The 22247-nt window shown below is 44.5% G+C and overlaps 1 protein-coding gene across 62 annotated transcripts in view, besides 2 other annotated features; it reads left to right on the top strand.

Annotated features, from left to right (window-relative positions):
* The window catches only part of EIF4G3 (eukaryotic translation initiation factor 4 gamma 3), a 370606-nt gene extending 354438 nt beyond the window's left edge, over positions 1-16168 (top strand). For 36 of the 62 annotated variants that reach the window (XM_047433321.1, XM_047433366.1, XM_017002707.3 and 33 more), the window contains 4 exons: positions 4922-5068; positions 9221-9302; positions 11576-11722; positions 14960-16168. In XM_047433321.1, coding sequence (XP_047289277.1) covers positions 4922-5068; positions 9221-9302; positions 11576-11722; positions 14960-15141 — 558 coding nt within the window. In that variant the 3' untranslated portion in view covers positions 15142-16168. The remainder of the gene's footprint in view (positions 1-4921; positions 5069-9220; positions 9303-11575; positions 11723-14959) is intronic. The other 26 variants (NM_001391899.1, NM_001391893.1, NM_001391903.1 and 23 more) reach the window with 3 other exon arrangements.
* Positions 1590-2090: an enhancer, noted in NCBI's record as "H3K4me1 hESC enhancer chr1:21146863-21147363 (GRCh37/hg19 assembly coordinates)". NCBI's record gives its function as "activates a minimal SCP1, AML or CMV promoter by ChIP-STARR-seq in primed H9 embryonic stem cells {active_cell/tissue: H9 hESC(primed)}" and the evidence as "EXISTENCE:reporter gene assay evidence [ECO:0000049][PMID:30033119]".
* Positions 2091-2591: an enhancer, noted in NCBI's record as "H3K4me1 hESC enhancer chr1:21146362-21146862 (GRCh37/hg19 assembly coordinates)". NCBI's record gives its function as "activates a minimal SCP1, AML or CMV promoter by ChIP-STARR-seq in primed H9 embryonic stem cells {active_cell/tissue: H9 hESC(primed)}" and the evidence as "EXISTENCE:reporter gene assay evidence [ECO:0000049][PMID:30033119]".

Raw genomic sequence — 22247 nt, 5'->3', positions numbered from 1 at the left:
CCAGGAGGTGGAGGTTGCAGTGAGCCAAGATTGCACCATTGCACTCCAGCCTGGACAAAAGGGCGAGACTCCGTCTCAAAAAAAAAAAAAAAAAAAAAAAAAAAGCTGGTTCTTTGAGAAGATAAAAGTGATAAACCTCTAGCCAGATTGATCGTGAAAAAAAGTTTGAAAAGAAGGTACATATTACTAATATCTGGAATGAAAGCGGTAACATCAGCACAGATTCTATACATAAAAGTGGGTGAGGAAATTTTATGAATAATCTTTATGTCAATAAATACATCAGCCAGGCGTGGTGGCTCATGCCTATAATTCCAGCACTTTGAGAGGCCGAGGCGGGCGGATCACGAGGTCAGGAGTTCGAGACCAGCCTGGCCAACATGGTGAATCCCCGTCTCTACTAAAAATACAAAAATTAGCCAGGTGTGGTAGCACACGCCTGTAATCCCAGCTACTCAGGAGGCTGAGGCAGGAAAATTGCTTGAACCCAGGAGGCAGAGGTTGCAATGAGCCAAGATCACATTATTGCACTCCAGCTCTGGGTGACAGAGCAAGACTCCATATTGGGAAAATAATAATAATAATAATGTAGGGTTTATCCTAGAAATGTAAGGTGGGTTTAATATTTGAAAACTGATGTATACATAATAGGGAAGATGGTGAAGTATACATAATAGAGAAGTATACATAATAGAGAAGTATACATAATAGGGAAGATGGTGAAGTATACATAATAGGGAAGTATACATAATAGGGAAGATGGTGAAGTATACATAATAGGGAAGTATACGTAATAGGGAAGGTGGTGAAGTATACATAACAGAAGTATACATAATAGGGAAGATGGTGATGTATACATAATAGGGAAGATGGTGATGTATACATAATAGAGAAGTATACGTAATAGGGAAGATGGTGAGGTTCCAGGATTCAATCCCTCCACTGACACAACTATTGAACTGGCAAGATCTGTTAGAGCCAACTGTTTTAGAACTGTGGAGTCTCGTTAAATACATGCATTATCAACACCAGGGGATTGCATAATGAAAAAAGAGTCTGATAAATTTCAGTGAATTTGGGAATTTTGCATAGAACTTACCAGTACCCAGCCCAGTGGCAGACCACCAGGAAACTGGCATCACACCATTTCTGGTGCAGCTTGCTGGTGCCAGGTTGAACAATAAGGACTTCATTTTCCAAGGATTGGGGTTGTGTCTTTTAATTGACTTTTAGTTGACTGAGAGGCCAGTGCTGGGGCTGGCTGTTATTTCAACTCTTTCATGCTGAAGTATCTTTTAGGGCTGTGACTATCAAAAGTATTTAAGCAGTAGTGTTAACGGGATCTCTGGAGTGTCGATTTTTTTGGCCAGAAACCTCTGTGGCCATGGCACCTTTGCCCGAGTTCTTTTCCTGTGTCCAGGAAGAATGAGGTACGCAAACAAATGAAGGGTGAAGAAGAGTTTTATTTAGTGTTAGAACAGCTCAGAGGAGTGGGTAGCTCCTCTCTAGTAGGCAGGTTGTCCCATGGAGTGTTCAGCTCTCTGTAGAGAGGAGGCTCTGGAGAGGATAGCTCCTCTCCACAGGCAGGTCGTTTGGACATTTCTGCAGGTCTCTGAAGCTCTCAGAGGAGAGGGTACCTCCTCTCTCCTGGCAGGTCATCTCTGCAGCTCTCAGCAGAGAAGGCATTCTTCTCTGCAGCTGGTCCTCCAATCGTCTCTCTACCCTCTTTGTCCTCTGCCCATCTGCTACCCTGTTCTGGCTGAGTCCAGGGCTTTTATACCTCAGAGGGGAAGAAATGCATGCCAATTGGTCCATAGGCAGCCATGGTTGGGCCTGGAAGAGGCACCATGAGCCCCTACTCCACTCTGCTGGACTGGCATCCCAGCCCCCAGCCTTCAGGTCCTCCCTGGCCTGAGGGTGGGGCCTTACTGGGGACCCTGCCCCCTTCCACCCAGGACTCTGTCTGCCTCCTGCTGCCATTCATGGCCCTGGGGCTTGGTCCCAACCCCACTCCAAGATCAGAGAGCAGGCAACTCTGAGCCTGCAGGGACAGGGGGTCTTTCCTGGGACACCCGAGGGTGCTGACTGCAGAGACGCCCAGGTGCTGCATGCCTAGGAGGGCAGCCACAGCTGCACCCCAGAGCTCCCACCCCACCAACTCAGAAGAGGCAGGGCTCCCCCTTTTCCCGTCCCCTGCCTGCTTTGTGGAACGGGAGGCCCAGGTCTGCAGCCGCAGGTCAGGCAGCTGCGACAGCACCCAGGAGGGGAGATCCTGCCTGCTCCCTCAAGAAAGGCTCGAATCCACAGCTGCAGTTTGGGTGGGAGGGCAGGGCTCCTGCCTGCTCCAAAGAGCAGGAGGCTTGGGTCCGCAGCTATGGTTTGGGTGGCTGCAGTAGCACAGGCAGCTTCCATCCCAACTCAGAAGGGGCAGGGCTCCCACCGGCTCCATGCAGTGTACGGCCCCAGCTGCACCTCCCTGCTGCAGCCAATAGTATCTCTCTCTCTGTCTCTCTCTCTTTCTTTCTGTCTCCAGTCTCTCTGTCTCCTCTCCTCTCCCCTCTCTCCTCTTTCCTCCTTCTCCACTCCCTCTCCCTGAGTCCTCTTTTTTTGTTAATTTAACTTTTATTTTAAGGTCAGGGGTACATGTGCAGGTTTGTTCTATAGGTAAACTTGTGTCATGGGGGTTTGCTTTACAGATTATTTTGTCACCCAGGTATTAAGCCTAGTACCTATTAGTTATTTTTCCTGATCTTCTCCCTTCTCCCAACCTCTGCCCTCTGATAGGTTCGTGTGTGTTGTTCCCCTCTATGTGTCCATGTATTGTCACCATTTAGCTCCCACCTATAAGTGAGAACACGCAGTATTTGGTTTTTTGTTCCTGCATTAGTTCGCTAAGGATCACTTGGCCTGGGAGGTCAAGGCTGCAGTGAGCCATGATAGTGCCATTGCACTGCAACCCGGGCAAAAGAGCAAGACCCTGTCTAAATAAATAAATAAATAAATAAATAAATAAATATGAGACTTCAGTTTAAAAGAAAAAAAAAGCAATCGGAGGTCAAGGCTGCAGTGAGCCTTGATAGTGCCACTGCACTGTAACCTGAGCGAAAGAGCAAGACCCTGTCTAAATAAATAAATATGAGACTTCAGTTTAAAAGAAAAAAAAGGCAAAATAATATATATATAATAAAATGAATATATAAAAATGTTTATAGTTTGAAAAATGAGGTTGAAAAATACTTGGCCTGTATCTTGACTTACAGTTTGCTTAAACAGCTTATGGCCTTCATGTTGTGCTTTTTTGCATATATTGGAGCATCATGGATTGGATGTATAGTTAACCAATACTAAATCAGAAAAATTGTAATATTGAGCCATGTTTCTAAAATCTTATGGAGCTGGGTGCAGTGGTGCACACTGTAGTCTCAGCTGCTCGGGAGGCTGAGGCAGAAGGATCTTTGAGCCCCAGAGTTCAAGTCCAACTTGGCAACATAGTGAGACCCCAAGTCAAAAATAAATAAATAATAAAACCTTATTGGGAAATATAATTTAGAGATGCTACGTAAGTGGTAGAAACGGAACAATCAGATGACAGAACTCAAGACTGTGGTTTTCACTTTGTGGATTGGGGATAGGGTATAGGACCATACCAGAGTATTCAAGAGTATTAGAGAAAACCTTATGTGAGTAATCCTTAATATTTTCATCTTTATGGTTTTTGTATAATGAAGCCACATAAAGCAAGGCATACCTATGTACTTCATTTCTTTAGTCCTTTGAAAATTATGAATAATTTTGATTATAGATTTTTTTTTTCTTTTTGAGACAGGATCTCGCCCTATTGCCAGGCTGCAGAGCAGTGGCACAATGACAATTCACTGCAGCCTCAACCTCCCATGCTCAAGCAATCCTCCCATCTCAGCCTCCTGAGTAGCTGGGACCACAGGCGCATGCCACAACACCTGGCTAATTTTGGTATTTGTGTTGGTAGAGACGGGGTTTTGCCATGTTGCCCAGGCTGGTCTCAAACTCCTGAACTCATACACTCCTCCTGCCTTGGCCTCCCAAAGTGCTGGGATTACTGGTGTGAGCCACTGCGCCCAGCCTGATTATAGATTTTTTAAAACTATGTATCTAAGTGCTAAACAATTATAGCATCATTTCTCACACCTATATTCGAAATGGCCACAACTTAACAAAGCCAAAACTATCTAGTTTTGATAGCTGCTGAGTACCAATACTAATATTAAACCATAGGTTGCAGAAAGAGAGTGAAATTGTACCCTTTTCTAGGGCTCCTATCCTGCCTTAAAGAGCTATGTTGCAGCTAAGGGGAAGATTGAAGCTCAAGATTATTTGCGTGTAACCATAGCCTAGAGATAATTATAGGGGGTTATTACCTTCTTTTTTAAGATACACGGTATGAGAAGTTGGAAAAATATTCAGAAGGATAATGGACTGACAGTTTTTCAAAACTATAATACGAACAGGTTGGGCGTGGTGAGTCATGCCTGTAATCCCGTCTTTGGGAGGCCAAGGAGGGCGGATTGCTTGAGCTCAGGAGTTCAAGACCAGCCTGGGCAGCATGGCAAGACCCCTTCTCTACTAAAAACACAAAAAAATAGCCAAGTGTGGTGGTGTGGGTCTGGAGTCCCAGCTACTCAGGAGGCTGAGGTGGGAGGATTGCTTGAGCCCGTGATGTGGAAGTTGCAGTAAGCCAAACTACTCCAGCCTGGATGACAGAGCAAGACCCTGTCTCAAAAAAAAAAAAAAAAAAAAAACTACAAACATAAAATAGCCTCTGCTGATCATTTTGATTCCATGTAAAATAGAAGACGTAACCTATGACTTTGTTCTTCTCTCAGGATGACAATAACATAGAATTATATTAATATATTAATATGTTCCACCTTTTATGTTTCAGAAGTTGGACTTCATAGAGTCTGACAGTCCCTGTTCCTCTGAAGCACTTTCAAAGAAAGAACTGTCTGCCGAAGAGCTGTATAAGCGACTCGAGAAACTCATTATTGAGGACAAAGCGAATGATGAACAGATCTTTGACTGGGTAGAGGTATAAAGACTATGTCACCTTCCCTGATACCTCTACAGGAAAGATTCTTGTGGGATCCCCTTAATTCGCTTACCTATCAGTTCACTTCATGAATTTTTATTTTTATTTTTTTTTATTTATTTATTTTTTTATTTATTTATTTTTTTTTTTTAATTGATCATTCTTGGGTGTTTCTCGCAGAGGGGGATTTGGCAGGGTCACAGGACAATAGTGGAGGGAAGGTCAGCAGATAAACAAGTGAACAAAGGTCTCTGGTTTTCCTAGGCAGAGGACCCTGCGGCCTTCCGCAGTGTTTGTGTCCCTGGGTACTTAAGATTAGGGAGTGGTGATGACTCTTAACGAGCATGCTGCCTTCAAGCATCTGTTTAACAAAGCACATCTTGCACCGCCCTTAATCCATTTAACCCTGAGTGGACACAGCACGTGTTTCAGAGAGCACAGGGTTGGGGTTAAGGTCACAGATCAACAGGATCCCAAGGCAGAAGAATTTTTCTTAGTACAGAACAAAATGAAAAGTCTCCCATGTCTACTTCTTTCTACACAGACCCGGCAACCATCCGATTTCTCAATTTTTTCCCCACCCTTCCCGCCTTTCTATTCCACAAAACCGCCATTGTCATCATGGCCCATCCCCAATGAGCCGCTGGGCACACCTCCCAGACGGGGTGGTGGCCGGGCGGAGGGGCTCCTCACTTCCCAGTAGGGGCGGCCGGGCAGAAGCGCCCCTCACCTCCTGGATAGGGCGGCTGGCCGGGCGGGGGGCTGACCCCCCCACCACCCTCCCGGACAGGGCGGCTGGCCAGACAGAGGGGTCCTCACTTCCCAGTAGGGGCGGCCGGGCAGAGGCGCCCCTCACCTCCTGGATAGGGCGGCTGGCCGGGCGGGGGGCTGACCCCCCCACCTCCCTCCCGGACGGGGCGACTGGCCGGGCAGAGGGGTCCTCACTTCCCAGTAGGGGCGGCCGGGCAGAGGCGCCCCCACCTCCCGGACGGGGCGGCCGGCCGGGCGGGGGGCTGACCCCCCCACCTCCCTCCCGGACGGGGCGGCTGGCCGACCCCCCCCCCCCCCGCCTCCCTCCCGGACGGGGCGGCTGGCCGGGCAGGGGGCTGACCTCCCCACCTCCCTCCCGGATGGGGTGGCTGGCCAGGCGGGGGGCTGACCCCCCCACCTCCCTCCCGGACGGGGCGGCTGGCCGGGCAGAGGCGCTCCTCACTTCCCAGTAGGGGCGGCCGGGCAGAGGCGCCCCTCACCTCCCGGACGGGGCGGCTGGCCGGGCGGGGGGCTGATCCCCCCACCTCCCTTCCGGACGGGGCGGCTGGCCGGGCGGGGGGCTGACCCCCCTCCTCCCTCCCGGACGGGGCGGCTGGCCGGGCAGAGGGATCCTCACTTCCCAGTAGGGGCGGCCGGGCAGAGGCGCCCCTCACCTCCCGGACGGGGCGGCTGGCCAGGCGGGGGGCTGATCCCCCCACCTCCCTCCCGGACGGGGCGGCTGGCCGGGCAGGGGGCTGACCCCCCCTCCCCCCTCCCGGACGGGGCGGCTGGCCGGGCGGGGGGCTGACCCCCCACCTCCCTCCCGGACTGGGCGGCTGGCCGGGTGGGGGGCTGACCCCCCCACCTCCCTCCTGGACGGGGCAACTGGCCGGGCAGAGGGGCTCCTCACTTCCCAGTAGGGGCGGCCGGGCAGAGGATCCCCTCACCTCCCGGACGGGGCGGCTGGCCGGGCGGGGGGCTGACCCCCCCCCACCTCCCTCCCGGACGGGGTGGCTGCCGGGCGGAGAGGCTCCTCACTTCCCAGACGGGGTGGCTGCCGGACGGAGGGGCTCCCCACTTCTCAGACGGGGCGGTTGCCAGGCAGAGGGTTTCCTCACTTCTCAGACGGGGCGGCCGGGCAGAGACGCTCCTCACCTCCCAGACAGGGTTGCGGCCCAGCAGAGGCGCTCCTCACATCCTAGACAGGGCGGCGGGGCAGAGGCGCTCCCCACTCAGACGATGGGCGGGTCAGGCAGAGATGCTCCTCACTTCCTAGATGGGATGGCAGCCGGGCAGAGACGCTCCTAACTTCCTAGATGGGATGGCGGCTGGGCAGAGACGCTCCTCACTTTCCAGACTGGGCAGCCAGGCAGAGGGGCTCCTCACCTCCCAGACGATGGGCGGCCAGGCAGAGACGCTCCTCACTTCCCAGACGGGGTGGCGGCCGGGCAGAGGCTGCAATCTCGGCTCTTTGGGAGGCCAAGGCAGGCGGCTGGGAGGTGTAGGTTGTAGTGAGCTGAGATCACGCCACTGCACTCCAGCCTGGGCACCATTGAGCACTGAGTGAACGAGACTCCGTCTGCAATCCCGGCACCTCGGGAGGCCGAGGCTGGCGGATCACTCGCGGTTAGGAGCTGGAGACCAGCCCGGCCAACACAGCAAAACCCAGTCTCCACCAAAAAAAAACGAAAACCAGTCAGGCGTGGCAGCGCGCGCCTGCAATCGCAGGCACTCGGCAGGCTGAGGCAGGAGAATCAGGCAGGGAGGTTGCAGTGAGCCGAGATGGCAGCAGTACCGTCCAGCTTTGGCTCGGCATCAGAGGGAGACCGTGGAAGGAGACTGTGGGGAGAGGGAGAGGGGGAGGGGGAGGGGGAGGGGGAGGGGGAGGGGGAGATGAATTTTTAACCTTAATTAAATTAGTTTTTAAATGCTTTTGTTTTGCCTTCCTTAGAAAAGAGTAACATTTTTCTCACCACTTAAGGGGTTAAGTAATGCTTGAGATTAACTTCTAATTCACATTAAAATTAAGATGAAAAAGCAGTGTTGGCACATGTAAAAATAGTTACATGCTTCTGAGTAAGTAGTCATTAAAATACACTGCAGTTGTGGTGTTGTTCTTTCATAGATTGAGTAGATGATCTTAATATGGATTATTTATTGAGGAATAAAATATGTTTTTAAGTGGTTATACTTCCAAATGTACAAGTACATAACACTGTATAATTGAATGAGTAAAGGATAGGCAGTGGGAAGGACCCTGAAAAGTAAATACTGCTAATTCAAATATTTGCACATAGAACTGGCAATAGCCAAATTATTTTTCAATGAATTGGACATTTAATTTTAGCAAGAATGTGCAAAAATGTGATTCATCTGGTCTGGGTGTGATGGTTCATGCCTGTAATCCCAGCACTTTGGGAGGCTGAGGTAGGCAGATCACGAGGTCAGAGTTTGAGACTAGCCTGGCCAACATAGTGAAACCCCATCTCTACTAAAAGTACTAAAAAATTAGCTGAGTAGTCCCAGCTACTCGGGAGGCTGAGGCAGGGATCCTGTAGTCCCAGCTACTCAGGAGGCTGAGGCAGGAGAATCGCTTGAACCTGGGAGGCAGAGGTTGCAGTGAGCTGAGATCGCACCACTGCACTCCAGCCCGGGTGACAGTGCAAAGTCTCAAAAAAAAAAAAAAAAAAAAAACAGTGACTCATCTGTTCTTAGTGCCAGATCAGTCCTGATGTTCAAGAGATCATTTATCTGATACGCAAGGGTATCTTTTTTTGTTTTTTGTTTTTTGTTTTGAGATGGAGTTTTGCACTTGTCGCCCAGTCTGGAGTGCAGTGGTGCAATCTTGGCTCACTGCAGCCTCCACCTCCCAGGTTCAAACGATTCTCCTGCCTCAGCCTCTGCCTGCCACCATACCCAGCTGATTTTTGTGTTTTTAGTAGAGACACGGTTTCACCATGTTGGCCAGATTGGTCTCGAACTCCTGACCTCAGGTGATCCATCCTCTTCAGCCTCCCAAAGTGCTGGGATTACAGGCATGAGCCACTGCACCTGGCCTGTTTTTTGTTTTCTCAAGACAAGGTCTCGCTCTGTCACCCATGCTGGAGTGCAGTGGTGCAGTCATTGCTTACTGCAGCCTCAAACCCTTGGGATCAAGCAGTCCTCCCACCTTAGTCTCCCAGGTAGCTGGGAACACAGGCATGTGCCACCATACCCAGCTTTTTTTTTTTTTTTTTTTTTTTTAAGAGATAGGGTCTTACTATATTGCCCAGACTGGTCTCAACTCCTAGCCTCAAGTGATCCTCCTGTCTCGGCCTCCCAAAGTGTTGGGATTACAGGCATGAGCCTCTGTGCCTGGCTGAGCAAGGTATCTTTAATTGTTTTATTTCTTTTTGACTTCAGGCTAATCTAGACGAAATCCAGATGAGTTCACCTACATTCCTTAGAGCTTTAATGACTGCTGTTTGTAAAGCAGCTATTATAGGTAAGTAACATTTCTGAAGGCAGCTCATAACATCTGAAATCCCCATTATGTCAACTACTAAGTATACAGTTTGATTTTACATTGTTTTCAAAACTTCTCCTATGTAGCTCACTTTTCTGTGCACTGTCCTTTCTGTCTGTGATGCCTGGTTGTCTCAAGCGTGGAGACAAATAGCTGCTCCGCCTACAGAGAACCCAGATCTAACCAGCTACCACATGCCTTGCATGCTCCTTGGGTTGTTTTTCACTACGTTGCGTGTAGCTTTTTCTTTATCTTTTCACTTCTAACATTCAGGGCCGCCTCCTCCTTCCAATAATGAATTATAATGAACAGGTTGAATATTCTTAATCTAATTATCAGTATAGGGTTATTCTCATCAAAAAAGTCATGTTATATAAGTACATACATGAAGAAAAAAATATCAACAGTTTGTCCTGTTCTTTGTTGACTTTATTTGATATGATAAGACAATTTTATTGGCTTATGAATTGTTAATATTGATAGGATTAGGGTCAGTAGAAATCCCAAATATTCCAAGCTGTATACAATGTTTAACATTATTCAATGAAGACATCTCTTTAGTTTCAGATAGAAATTCATACTTCTGTCACTGAAGCGAGAAAAAAAAATTCATCAGTGCAAAGGTGTCTCAGAATTTCAAGTCTGTCTCTATTTTGAAGATGGCTTTCTGCCACTTAATATAGCTTCAGAATTGTAATTTAAGATTTGCAATGAATTTATTTTCAATGTTCTTTAATGAGATAAATAACAAAGCTAAGTAGAAAGTCTTCATGAAATTTTTAAAAATCATTTTCAGTATCCATAGAACCATCATAAGACTTTCATGTTTTAAAATTCGAGTTGGGAAGTCCAAAAGCTGTTTGGTTTTTGTTTTCTTGAGATGGTGGGGGTCACTGTGTTGCCCAGGCTGGACCTGAACTCCTGGGCTTAAGCGGATCCTATCGCCTCAGCCTCTTGAGTAACTGGAATTACAGGCATGAGCCACGATGGCCAGATTTTAAAAGCAAAATCTGCTTTTAAAAACAAAATTGTGTCTTAGTGATAACTTACAGATAATATAAACCCGTATGTGTCTTTGTACTGAGGATGCTTTTCATTTCTCAGCCCCTTTTTATCATTCCTTTCCCTCAAAAGGCCTAGATTAGGTATGTTATCTGCCACTGCCACAGTTAGTTTTTATCCTAGTAATAACAAAATGGTTCCAATTATTTTAGCCTTCTGAAAAGATTTGTATTAAGTGTCACTTTAATTTCCTTTTCTAATGTTGCTTTTTTATGTTGCTTTTTTTAAATACTCACTTGAAATTCCTACTCCATGTTTCATTTATTTTTGATTGACAAATTATAATTGTATATGTTTATGGGGTACAATGTGATGTTTTGATATACATGTCCAATGTGGAATGATTGAATCAAATTAATTAACATATCTATCACCTCACTTACCTTTTTTTATGGTAAGACATTTGATTAATTTTGCTTTTGTAGTTTGTCATAAAACCACAGTCACTGTTTCATTACAATTAAAGATAATTGGGTACGCTACTCCTGAGGGAAACCAGCATTCAAAATGCATCCCCTCCATAGTTTTTATTATTTGTGAGAGAATGTCTCATTAATAATTTCAGAGCATTTTGGATTTCAAAATATTTGCCTTAGACCTTCTTGCCTCCTCTTCTCTTGTAGAGCCATATGGGTCCTTTGTACTCAGAAAATTGAAAATGAGCCAGGTTGCAGTGGCTCATGCCTGTAATCCCAGCATTTTGGGAGGCCAAGGCAGAAGGATTGCTTGAGCCCAAGAGTTCAAGACCAGCTTGGGCAATATAGCGAGACCCTGTCTCTATTATTTAAAATCTAAAATAGAAGAAGAAGAAGAAGAAGAAAGGCCAGGAGCAGTGGCTCATGCCTGTAATCCCAGCAGTTTGGGAGGCTGAGGCGGGTGGATCGCCTGAGGTCAGGAGTTCGAGACAAGTCTGACCAACATGGTGAAACCCTGTCTCTGCTAAAAATACACAAAAAAATTAGTCAGGCCTGGGAGCAGGCGCCTGTAGTCCCAACAACTTGGGAGGCTGAGACAGGAGAATAGCTTGAACCTGGGAGACGGAGGTTGCAGTGAGCTTAGATTGTGCCACTGCACTCCAGCCTGGGCAATAGAGTGAGGCTCTGTCTCAAAAAAAGAAAAAAGAAAGAAAATTAAAGATAATTCTATGTTAACTCCTTAAATGTAATTCCTAGTTCTTCTATCACCTTTAGCCGACTCTTCTACCTTCAGAGTGGACACTGCTGTTATCAAGCAGAGAGTGCCGATCTTACTCAAGTACCTAGACTCAGATACAGAGAAGGAACTGCAAGCACTTTATGCACTACAAGCATCGATAGTAAAACTTGATCAACCTGCCAGTAAGTTTATCTCATGTTACAGTTAATCTAACCAATGAGTGAGATTTATCCAAGCCAGGACTTAGAGATGATTTAGGGTTCGAACAAAGGACAATAAAAGAATCACTAATAACACAAACTCATATAACTAACTTTAATAAATTTGAATTTGGCCGGGTGCAGTGGCTTGCGCCTATAATCCCAGCACTTTGGGAGGCCACGGCAGGCAGATCACTTGAGGTCAAGAGTTCAAGACCAGCCTGGCCAACATGGTGAAACCCTATCCCTACTAAAAATACAGAAATGGCTGAGCACGGTGGCTCACACCTGTAATCCCAGCACTTTGGGAGGCCGAGGCAGATGGATCATGAGGTCAGGAGATCGAGACCATCCTGGCTAACACAGTGAAACCCTGTCTCTACTAAAAATACAAAAAATTAGCTGGGTGTGGTGGCGGGCACCTGTAATCCCAGCTACTTGGGAGGCTGAGGCAGGAGAATCGCTTGAACCCAGGAGGCGGAGGTTACAGTGATCCAAGAGCATGCCACTGCACTCCAGCCTGGCGACAGAGCGAGACTCTATCTCAAAAAAAAAAAAAATACAAAAATACAAAAATTGGCTAGGTGTGGTGGCATGTGCCTGTAGTCCCAGCTACAGCTACTCAGAAAGCTGAAGCACGAGAATCACTTGAACCTGGGAGGCGGAGTTTGCACTAAGCCAAGATGGCGCCACTGCACTCCGGCCTGGACAACAGAGCAAGACTCTGTCCAAAAAAAAAAAAATGAATTTGTTATATGTTTGTATGAAAATATCACAACAAGAAAACTATTTAGATTAGGTTATTTCATCCCCATTCCAGGGCAGGCCTAATAAAACTTTCCACAGTGATGGTAGTATATATCCATACCATTGAGTATGGTAATCATGAGCCACATGTGGCAATTCTATACTTAAATATGTCTGTTGTGACTTAGGAACTGAATTATTGACTTTAAATTTAAATAACCATGTTTGACTAATAGCTTCCATATTGGACAACACAGGTCTAGGGCATGAAAATGGTTAATGATGTTGAGGATGATACTCTAGAATCTTTAGACACCCAACAAAGACCCTAAGTGTAGTGTATTTACCATGCTATATTTACTAAGGAGTTTCAGAATAGTTTTTAGTTAAGGGTTATGATTAATTCTTGGCTAATGAAACAAAGTAACCTGTACACTTAAGTCTTAGTGATACTTGGTGTTAACTAATGATTTTTATTACATCTTGAAAATTCAGTTGGTATTTGTTAAAGCGGGCAGTACATAGCTATTAGAGAGAGCACTCAAGTAGTTCTTTGGTACTTCCTTATTTTCGCTTTTGTAAAATTCCTTCTTTCCTAGTCCTGAATCGCTCTTGGAGATAAAGGAAAAGATGAAAGCAAATTATCCTTATAGTGTAACTGAAGAGACAATCTACCATGAATCAGATAATTTGATAATATTAGCTTAACTAATATAATTACAAAGATAAGTCTTTTTAAAAAAAGGCCGAGGCATGCAGATCACCCGAGGTCAGGAGTTTGAGACCAGCCTGGCCAACATGGTGAAACCCCGTCTCTACTAAAACTACAAAATTAGCTGGGCGTGGTGGCGCATGCCTGTAATCCCAGCTACTTGGGAGGCTGAGGCAGGAGAATCACTTGAACCCATGAGGCGGTGGTTGCAATGAGCCGAGATCATGCCACTGCACTCCAGCCTGGGCAAAAAGAGCAAAACTCCATTTAAAAAAAAAAAAGTTAATACGACTCATGATAAACCTAATATTGATTAGCATTTATTGTTTATTCCACTGCCTCCCTCCATTAATATAAATGATCGGAGAGCTGACTATAATAACTATAAGCTAATAACTTATTATATATGATAACTATAATTCTCAGTTTTACTATGAGAGTAAAACCGAGAATTAAAATCACACGGATAGTTTGGACGTTTAAAACAGTAAATAACAGGTGTAGTTTCACTGGATAAAATCCAGATGAGATAGCTTTTACTCATGTTTTCCATGTGAATGATCACCTCTTGTTCTTTTTTGAGACGGACTCTCGCTCTGTCACCCAGGCTGGAGTGCAGTGATGCAATCTCAGCTCACTGCAAGCTCCGCCTGCCGGGTTCACGCCATTCTCCTGTCTCAGCCTCCCTAGTAGCTGAGACTACAGGCACCCGCCACCATGCCCGGCTAATTTTTTGTATGTTTAGTAGAGACGGGGTTTCACTGTGTTAGCCAGGATGGTCTCGATCTCCTGACCTCGTGATCCGCCTGTCTCGGCCTCCCAAAGTGCTAGGATTAAAGGTGTGAGCCACCGCGCCCGGCCACCTCTTCATTTTTAAAACAACATTACAAGGAATAAAAAGCATATCCTGCCTTTCTCCCTTCCCCCAAATTTTGTAAAAATAATACAGTAAACTTGCAGCGCAGAAAATAGTAAAAAGAAAGTAAAAAACTACTCGTATTTAAATTTTATAGGGTTTAGATTGAGATAAACATGATATGAAACAGCTTCACTGGTATCAGAAGATAGTTCAGATTGGGCCGGGCACGGTGGCTCACGCCTGTAATCCCAGCACTTTGGGAGGCCAAGATGAGCGGATCACCTGAGGTCAGGAGTTCGAGACCAGCCTGGCCAACATGGTGAAATCCCTTCTCTACTTAAAATACAAAAATTAGCTGACTGTGGTGGCCGGCGCCTGTAATCCCAGGTACTTGGGAGGCTGAGGCAGGAAAATTGCTTCAACCCAGGCAGGCGCCTGTAATCCCAGGTACTTGAGAGGCTGAGGCAGGAAAAATTGCTTAAACCCAGGCAGGCGCCTATAATCCCAGGTACTTAGGAGGCTGAGGCAGGAAAATTGCTTAAACCCAGGAGGTAGAGGTTGCAGTGAGCCAAGATCGCACCACTGCACTCCAGCCTGGGGACAGAACAAGATTGTCTCTCAAAAAAAAAAAAAAAAAAAAAAAAAACAGAAAAAAAGTTCAAATTGTACAAAATAATAGGAATAAAAAAGAATTTAGACTGCTTCAATCTTTTTTTCCTCTTCTTTAAACAAGTTGTTGGGCTGTTTATACTGTCAAGAGCAAGTATGGTGAATTGTCATTATTGCTTTTTTCTGGGGGAATTAATGCACATTTATTCAGTCATTCATTATTTTGAAATATATTCTTTTCCTCATAACTACAGTGTCCCAAAGCTTATAGTTTATTTTCACCTCCTTGCAGATTTGCTGCGGATGTTTTTTGATTGTCTATATGACGAGGAGGTGATCTCCGAGGATGCCTTCTACAAATGGGAGAGCAGCAAGGACCCTGCAGAGCAGAATGGGAAGGGCGTGGCTCTGAAATCTGTCACGGCATTCTTCACGTGGCTGCGGGAAGCAGAAGAGGAGTCTGAGGATAACTAAAACTTCAAATACACAAAATGAAACAAAAGAAACAATTTAAGTATTTTTTTAAAAAGTTTCACGTCTTCGCCAATCACAGTGCAGCAAGGCCAATTCTCGCAGAAACCCCCACGTGTGCACGAGTGGGAGAGGGGAAAGAGAAAAAAAGGTGATCATGGAGGAAAAAGGTACTGGATAAAAGTAAACTTCAAACCTTAGGGCGGGAGCACTAAAACCAAAATACATGTATTATTTATAGAAAATATTTTCTGTTTTAATCTTTTCTTTTTAAACAAGGACTCATACTTAAAAAAATGTTTAGCAAAAAAAAAAAAAGTTGAGAACTTTTAATTTATTTTAAGGACTGCAAATGCCAGTGTAATTTTTTAATTTGCAGTTTCTGTAAACAACTTGTATAATAGAAAAGCAGAGAAATAAATTTCCCTCCCCTTCAAGATGCACCTCATGTTTGTTTTAAGGTATAGCATTTAGTCCAGATTTGAGAAAGTTTGGGGTGAACAAGGTAAGAAAGATTTTTTTTTTTTTGGCATCAAATCTTTCTGCCTGCCTCTCAGCTTGCTTCAGAAAATTTAAAAAATCACAATAGTAATCAAAACATACATAACATTGAAACAGAAGGAAATGCTGTGGACCACAGAACTCCAAGAATTGTTTAAAAAAAAAAAAGTGCTACCCTGAGAAAAGTACTCTTAATACTCTTGAAATCTTTAGAGCAACTTTAAGGCTTGTAAATACATAGAACAAATATTTAAAAAAACAAAAAGAAATTGACTCAGTACTATTTCTTTTCACTTTGAAAATATAAAGAACAAAATAAAGACAAACATTGCAAGTTTAAAAGAAAGTAAAGTGACTTCTCCTTTGGACAGCTGCTGCATGTGTGCCCATTCCTGGGGGTGCTGTCTGGCTATTTATTGTCTAATTCAAATCACTCCTGAGGGGAGAGAGATAAAACGAGAGAGAGTGAGAGAGTGTGTGTATGTGCGTGTATGCGCACGTATGTGCATGCACATGTATGTATGTATATGTCTCTACTCACTGAAAAGGCAAGCTACTTTGTGGGTAAGGAGGGCACTTGTGCTTGGGTGGGAATGCCCCACTGGGAGTCCAGTGAAACTTGTTTCCAACACTAACTAAAAATGCATTCAGGACAGTAGGCCTCAAGGGCAGTCCTTTAGATAACTAAGTTTTCCACTCTGTGTATCAGGACTCAGGACAATAATTCACTTTGAGACTGCCACTACCACTGATTTTAAAATCTTCCATCAATTGCCTGCAATGCTTAAGAAACCCAAAGATGTCCTCTAAAGAATGAATAAAACCAAAAGCTATATTATGCTTTTACAAAAGTGGGGGTGGGATTTTTATAAAAGTGGGGGTGGGGTTTAAAATCAAGCCAATACCATGTATGCAAATCACATTGTCTGCCAACTCCAACCTCATTCAAGCCATTCTGGTGAGTATAAAGCTGACTGTGGGCCTCTGCTTGGGCCTCTGCTTCTCCTACAGATATTGGAGTGCTGTGCTTTCTAATTTTCCCACCCTTTCATGAAGTCGCAGTCTCTACAGATGGTTTTCCATTTCAGTTGTTTGTGGGCCATCAACCTACAAAATGTATTTATGAAGAAAGCCAGACTACTCCCAGATAAATAGTCTTTTTCTTTTGTATCTGGATAACAAGAGATTTCTGCTGGCTTCCATCTCTGAAGAAATACCACATTAAGAGACTTGGCAAGACTTGTGAAACACAAGAACAAAATTTTCTATAGCAATAAAATGTTTCTCTGAAGTGTAGTTGAACACAATACAAGATCCCACTACATAAGCCCACAGAGGCCATTTTTCAGTGGTGGAATGCTGTATGCCACTGGTCCCCAATGCACAACCTAGATCCCTCACATGTGCAGTTCACAATGGGTTCGCGCTCCTGTGAGAATCTAATGCCACCACTGATCTGACAGGAGGCGGAGCTCAGGTGGAAATGCTTGCTCACACACCACTCACCTTCTGTTGTGCAGCCCAGTTTCTAACAGGCCATGGACCAGTACGTGTCCTTGGCCCAGGGGCTGGGGACCCCTGCTGTATGCTGCTTTTGTTTTGTTTTGAGACAGGGTGTTGCTCTGTCACCCAGGTTGGAGTGCAGTGGCTTGATCATGGCTCACTGTAGCCTCAAACTCCTGGGCTCAAGCGATCCTCCTGCCTCACCCTCCCCAGTAGCTGGGACTACAGGCACACACCACCACAGAATACTATTGTTGAAGGACCAAGTCCTGAAAGTCTTTTGAAGGGTATGCGACAGCATCAGCTGTAAAAGATGGGGCCTGAAAAGCTGTTTTGGAGCCTGACCACAGGCTTTGCCTGGGATCCCTCAATTGGGAGAAGCAGCCTGGTTCTATGATCAACTGAGTAAACAACCTCCAGAATCAAAGTGCAGAGGATTATGATCAAGGAATCGTCTCTGAGTGATAGAAGTTTTTAGAAGGTATTGACAGCACTCAAGAGGTTGAGGGAGGGGAGTTTAGGGGAATACAGGATGGTAACTGCCTCTTGAGAATCAGTAGCTGTTTTTTGCAGGGGTCTGACCAGGGAGGGATTTCAGGTAGTAGAGATGGCCTAGTTATCAGTATTTTACATATTAACAAGTGTAAGGAATGGAGGAAAGAGAGAAATATTTTTGAAAGAACAATTAAAGGGTTGAAAAATATCTTAAGATATAAACATCTCTAGTACAATGACAGAAATAATGTTTGAAATCTTACCTATAACATGAAGTATGTTGAAGAGACTACAAAGTAAGCTTTGAGTATCTTGTTGCTGTGGACACGGAATGTGTGCTAGGATTAGAAGTTGCCTAATGACAAAATATGAGCAAAGTAAGATAATTGCCCCCTACTAATATCCACTGAACTGCAAAACAGTGTCAAGATTATTACCCTCTCTAGTCTTTTTACTGGAAAATAGGGTTTGGCAATTTTTGTTTTAATATAATAGGTGACATTGCCAACATTGATATGCCAGCACTCCTTTGAGCTGTAGCAAAAGCTCCTTCACCGATTTCAAATTTGGGAGCAGGTCCAATGCCTTTTTTTTTTTTTTTTTTTTGAGATGGAGTCTGGCTCTGTTGCCCAGGCTGGAGTGCAGTGGCGTGATCTCTACTCACTGCAAACTCCGCCTCCCAGGTTCAAGCAGTTCTGCCTCAGCCTCCCGAGTAGCTGGGATTATAGGAAGCGCCACCACGCCCGGCTAATTTTTTTGTATTTTAAGTAGAGATGGGGTTTCACCATATTTGTTTTGCCAGGCTGGTCTTGAACTCCCAACTCCAGGTGAACCGCCCACCTCGGCCTCCCAAAGTGCTGGGATTACAGGCATGAGCCACCGCACCTGGCCCAATACCTCTTTTAGTGCATTTATTAAGGTGCTTATACCTATTTTCTAACCAGTCAACTTATGGCTATTCAGTAAATGAACATTTTTTCATTTCTAACAAAGGAAAATGATACTAATTTTCAAAATGAACTTATTTTGGGTTCTTGTGTAGGCCAATAAGCTAGCCCATAACTGCATCATGAGCTTGTTTTGTTCAACCAATATTTAACTCAACATCTACTGTGCACTAAGTGGAGATAGGATAACAGTGACCACAGTAGGCTCTGCTTTCATGGATCTCATATTCTTCATGAAAACAGAAAGCTAGAGGTCGTTAACATGCTGCATCAGCATCGCATCCCACTAAGAAGTATCTGCTCCTTATTACTTTGGCAGATCTTTGTTTGTTTTTTCTTTATATTTCAAAATTCATTCTAGGCTGTTTGCAACAATTAAATCCAAAGATAGCTTTAAAACCACTCTCCAAACAAGTTATTTTGGAGTTTTTGACATACTATCTTGTTTCAAATGGCTCTTTTTAAGTCAATAGAATTCTAAGTTGGTTGGGGAAAGATCCTAGGCTACTGTATCTAATTCTGTTTTCATCACTCAAGTTTTATTATTTAAAAAAAAAATAGAGGAATCCAGTTTTTCAATTTCAACTATGTCATTAGCATGTACTTCCATATTCTCCATTTTGTAGGGAGTAACATTTTACATTACTTTTTGTTTGCTTTTTCTTTTCTTGAGACAGTCTTGATCTGTCGCCCAGGCGGGAGTTCAGTGGTGTGATCTTGGCTCACTGCAGCCTCCACCTCCCAGGTTCAAGTGATTCTCCTGCCTCAGCCTCCCGAGTAGCTGGGATTACAGGCTCAGGCCAGGTAGGGAGGGATATGCTACATGCCCACTGGCATAAAATATCCCATATGTCCCTCAAAAGGAAAAATGATCATCTGTTAGTTTGGGGACTTAAAAAAAAAACCTGACATCACTGTGTATTACCAAATCATGAGATGATTTATACATTAAGCTACAGAGAATCATATGCCAAATGTTATTCAGTTAAAGTTTTATTTTGAAATAATTTCAGACTTACAGAAAAGTTGCAGATTTTACAGAAAGTTCTATATACCCCTCATCCAGTTCCCTTTATAATAACATCTTATATTGCCATAGGACATTTGTCAAAACTAAGAAACCAGCTTTGGTATGTTGCTTGTAACTAAACTTAAGAGTATTTAGATTTTCACCAATGTCCCTTTTCTGGTCCAAGATGCAGTCCATGATACTACATTGCATCTAAGGAATCATTTCCTTAGTGTCCTCTGGACTTTGACAGTTTTTTGGTCTTTTTCATGACTTTGACAATTTTGAGGAGTAATAATGGGACATTTTGTAGAATGTCTGTCAATTTGTATTTGTCTGGTGTTTTTCTCATGATTAAAGTGGGGTTATGTATTTTGGATAAAAATAACTGTATATTGTAATCCCAGCTCTTTGGGAGACCAAGGCAGGAGGATTACTTGAAGCTAGGAGTTTGAGACCAGCCTGGGCAATATAGGAAGACCCCCCCATCTCTACAAAAATACTTAAAAATTAGCCAGGCATGGTGATGCACACCTGTAGTCCCAGCTGCTCAGGAAGCTAAGGCAGGAGAATCACTTGAGCCCAGGAGATCAAGGCTGCAGTGAGCTATGATCATGCCACTGCATTTCAGCTTGGGCAGCAGAATGAGACCCTGTCTCTAAAAAATAAAAACACAAATACCATATAAATGAAGTTCTCTTCTCATATATCAGCAGGTACAAGATACTCACATGATAACTTTATTTGGCTAAGTTGGTGTTTGCCAGGTTTCTCTATAGTTACTTTTCTTTCCCCCCTTTCTTACTCTAGTCTATATGAAAGCCAGTCACTAAATCCAACCCACACTTGGGAAGAGAGATGGGAGTAAGAGAGAATTAAGCTTTACTTCCTTTCTAGAGTGGGAAGCGTCTACTTAAATTATTTGGAATTTTCCCACAAGGAAGATGTCTCTCTTCTCTATTTGTTTGTTTAGTCACTCATATGTATTTATATGTGTGTATGTATAAATGTACACACATGGGTATGTATATATCAGTATGGGCTCATGTATATTTCATACTTTGAATTATAACCCAATAGTACATGATTTTGTTGTTCACATTGTTCCAGCTTTAGCCATTAGGGGCTCTTTCAAGTTGGCTTATGTGTCCCTTGACATTCCCTGATACTTTTGTTTTTAGAGCACGTACTTTCTGCCATCACAAGATGCCACAGACATATCTTGTATTTTCCCTGCCTCAGTCCTAGAATCAGCCATTTCTACAAGAATCCCTGGTTTCTTCTAGGAGAATGGGATTTAGAAACCAAGCTTTTACTCACTGGGTTTGCATGTTGCTATTGGGGCATCTCAGCCTCTTGGTCTGCCAACATTTTAAACTTCATTTTCTTGCCAGGCGAGTAAGCTGCTTTCACATGGAGCACTATGACCATTAGAAAACATAGTTCTGGGCTGGGCGCAGTGGCTCACCCCTGTAATCCCAGCACTTTGGGAGGCCACAATAGGCGGATCATGAGGTCAGGAGATCGAGACCATCCTGGCCAACATGCCGAAACACCGTCTCTACTAAAAATACAAAAATTACTGTGCATGGTAGCGCGTGCCTGTAATCCCAGCTACTTGGGAGGCTGAGGCAGGAGAATCGCTTGAACCAGGGAGTCGAAGGTTTCAGTGAGCCAAGATCACGCCACAGCACTCCAGCCTGACGACAGAGCAAGACTCTGTCTCAAAAAAAAAAAAAGAAAACATAGTTCTGGTGTGTGTGTGTGTGTGTGTATTACTTTGGGCCAAGCGCAGTGGCTCACACCTGTAATCCTAGCACTTTGGGAGGCCGAGGTGGGTAGATGACTTGAGGTCAGGAGTTTGAGACCAGCTTGTGCAACATGGTAAAACCCCATCTCTACTAAAAACATACAAAATTAGCCAGGTGTGGTGGTGGGCACCTGTAGTCCCAGATACTCGGGAGACTGAGGCAGGAGAACTGCTTGACCCCGGGAGGCAGAGGTTGCAATGAGCCAAGATCCCACCATTGCCCTCCAGCCTGGGTAACAGCAAGACTGTCTAAAATATAATAATAATAAAATAAAACACTCTGGTACCCAAAAGACTCAAGCCTATAGATACTTCATTCATTTTCTGCTCATCTTACATAGGAAAAAGTAGAGGGCCAGGTACTGTGGCTCACGGCTATAATCCCAGCACTTCGGGAGGCCAAGGTGGCCAGATCACTTGAGGCCAGGAGTTCAAGACCAGTCTGGCCAACATGGCAAGACTCTCTCTCTACTAAAAAATACAAAAATTAGTTGGGCCTGGTGGCGCATGCCTGTAATCCCAGCTACTCAGAAGGTTGAGGCACGAGAATCACTTGAACCTGGGAGGCGGAGGTTGCAGTGAACCAAGATAGGGTCACTGCACTCCAGCCTGGGTGACAGAGTGAGACTCTCTCAAATAAATAAATCAATAAATATTGAACTGTTTCTCTCTTTCCCCATTATGATTATTTGTTTTAATTTCCCTTAGCTAGTAATATTTAGAGTCTACTAAGGTACCAATACAGAGCAGTGTTAAAATGTTAACTCAGTTAAACAATAATAATGGAAATCGCGAAATAATGAAAAGTTAACTGATGATAAAAGCGCTGCGTATCAAAACTTGA

This window comes from Homo sapiens, chromosome 1 (assembly GCF_000001405.40).
Source record: "Homo sapiens chromosome 1, GRCh38.p14 Primary Assembly".
Classification (NCBI taxonomy): Eukaryota; Metazoa; Chordata; class Mammalia; order Primates; family Hominidae; genus Homo; species Homo sapiens.
The sequence above is the reverse complement of the archived record's forward strand: the minus strand, read 5'-3'. Positions and strand labels throughout refer to the sequence as shown.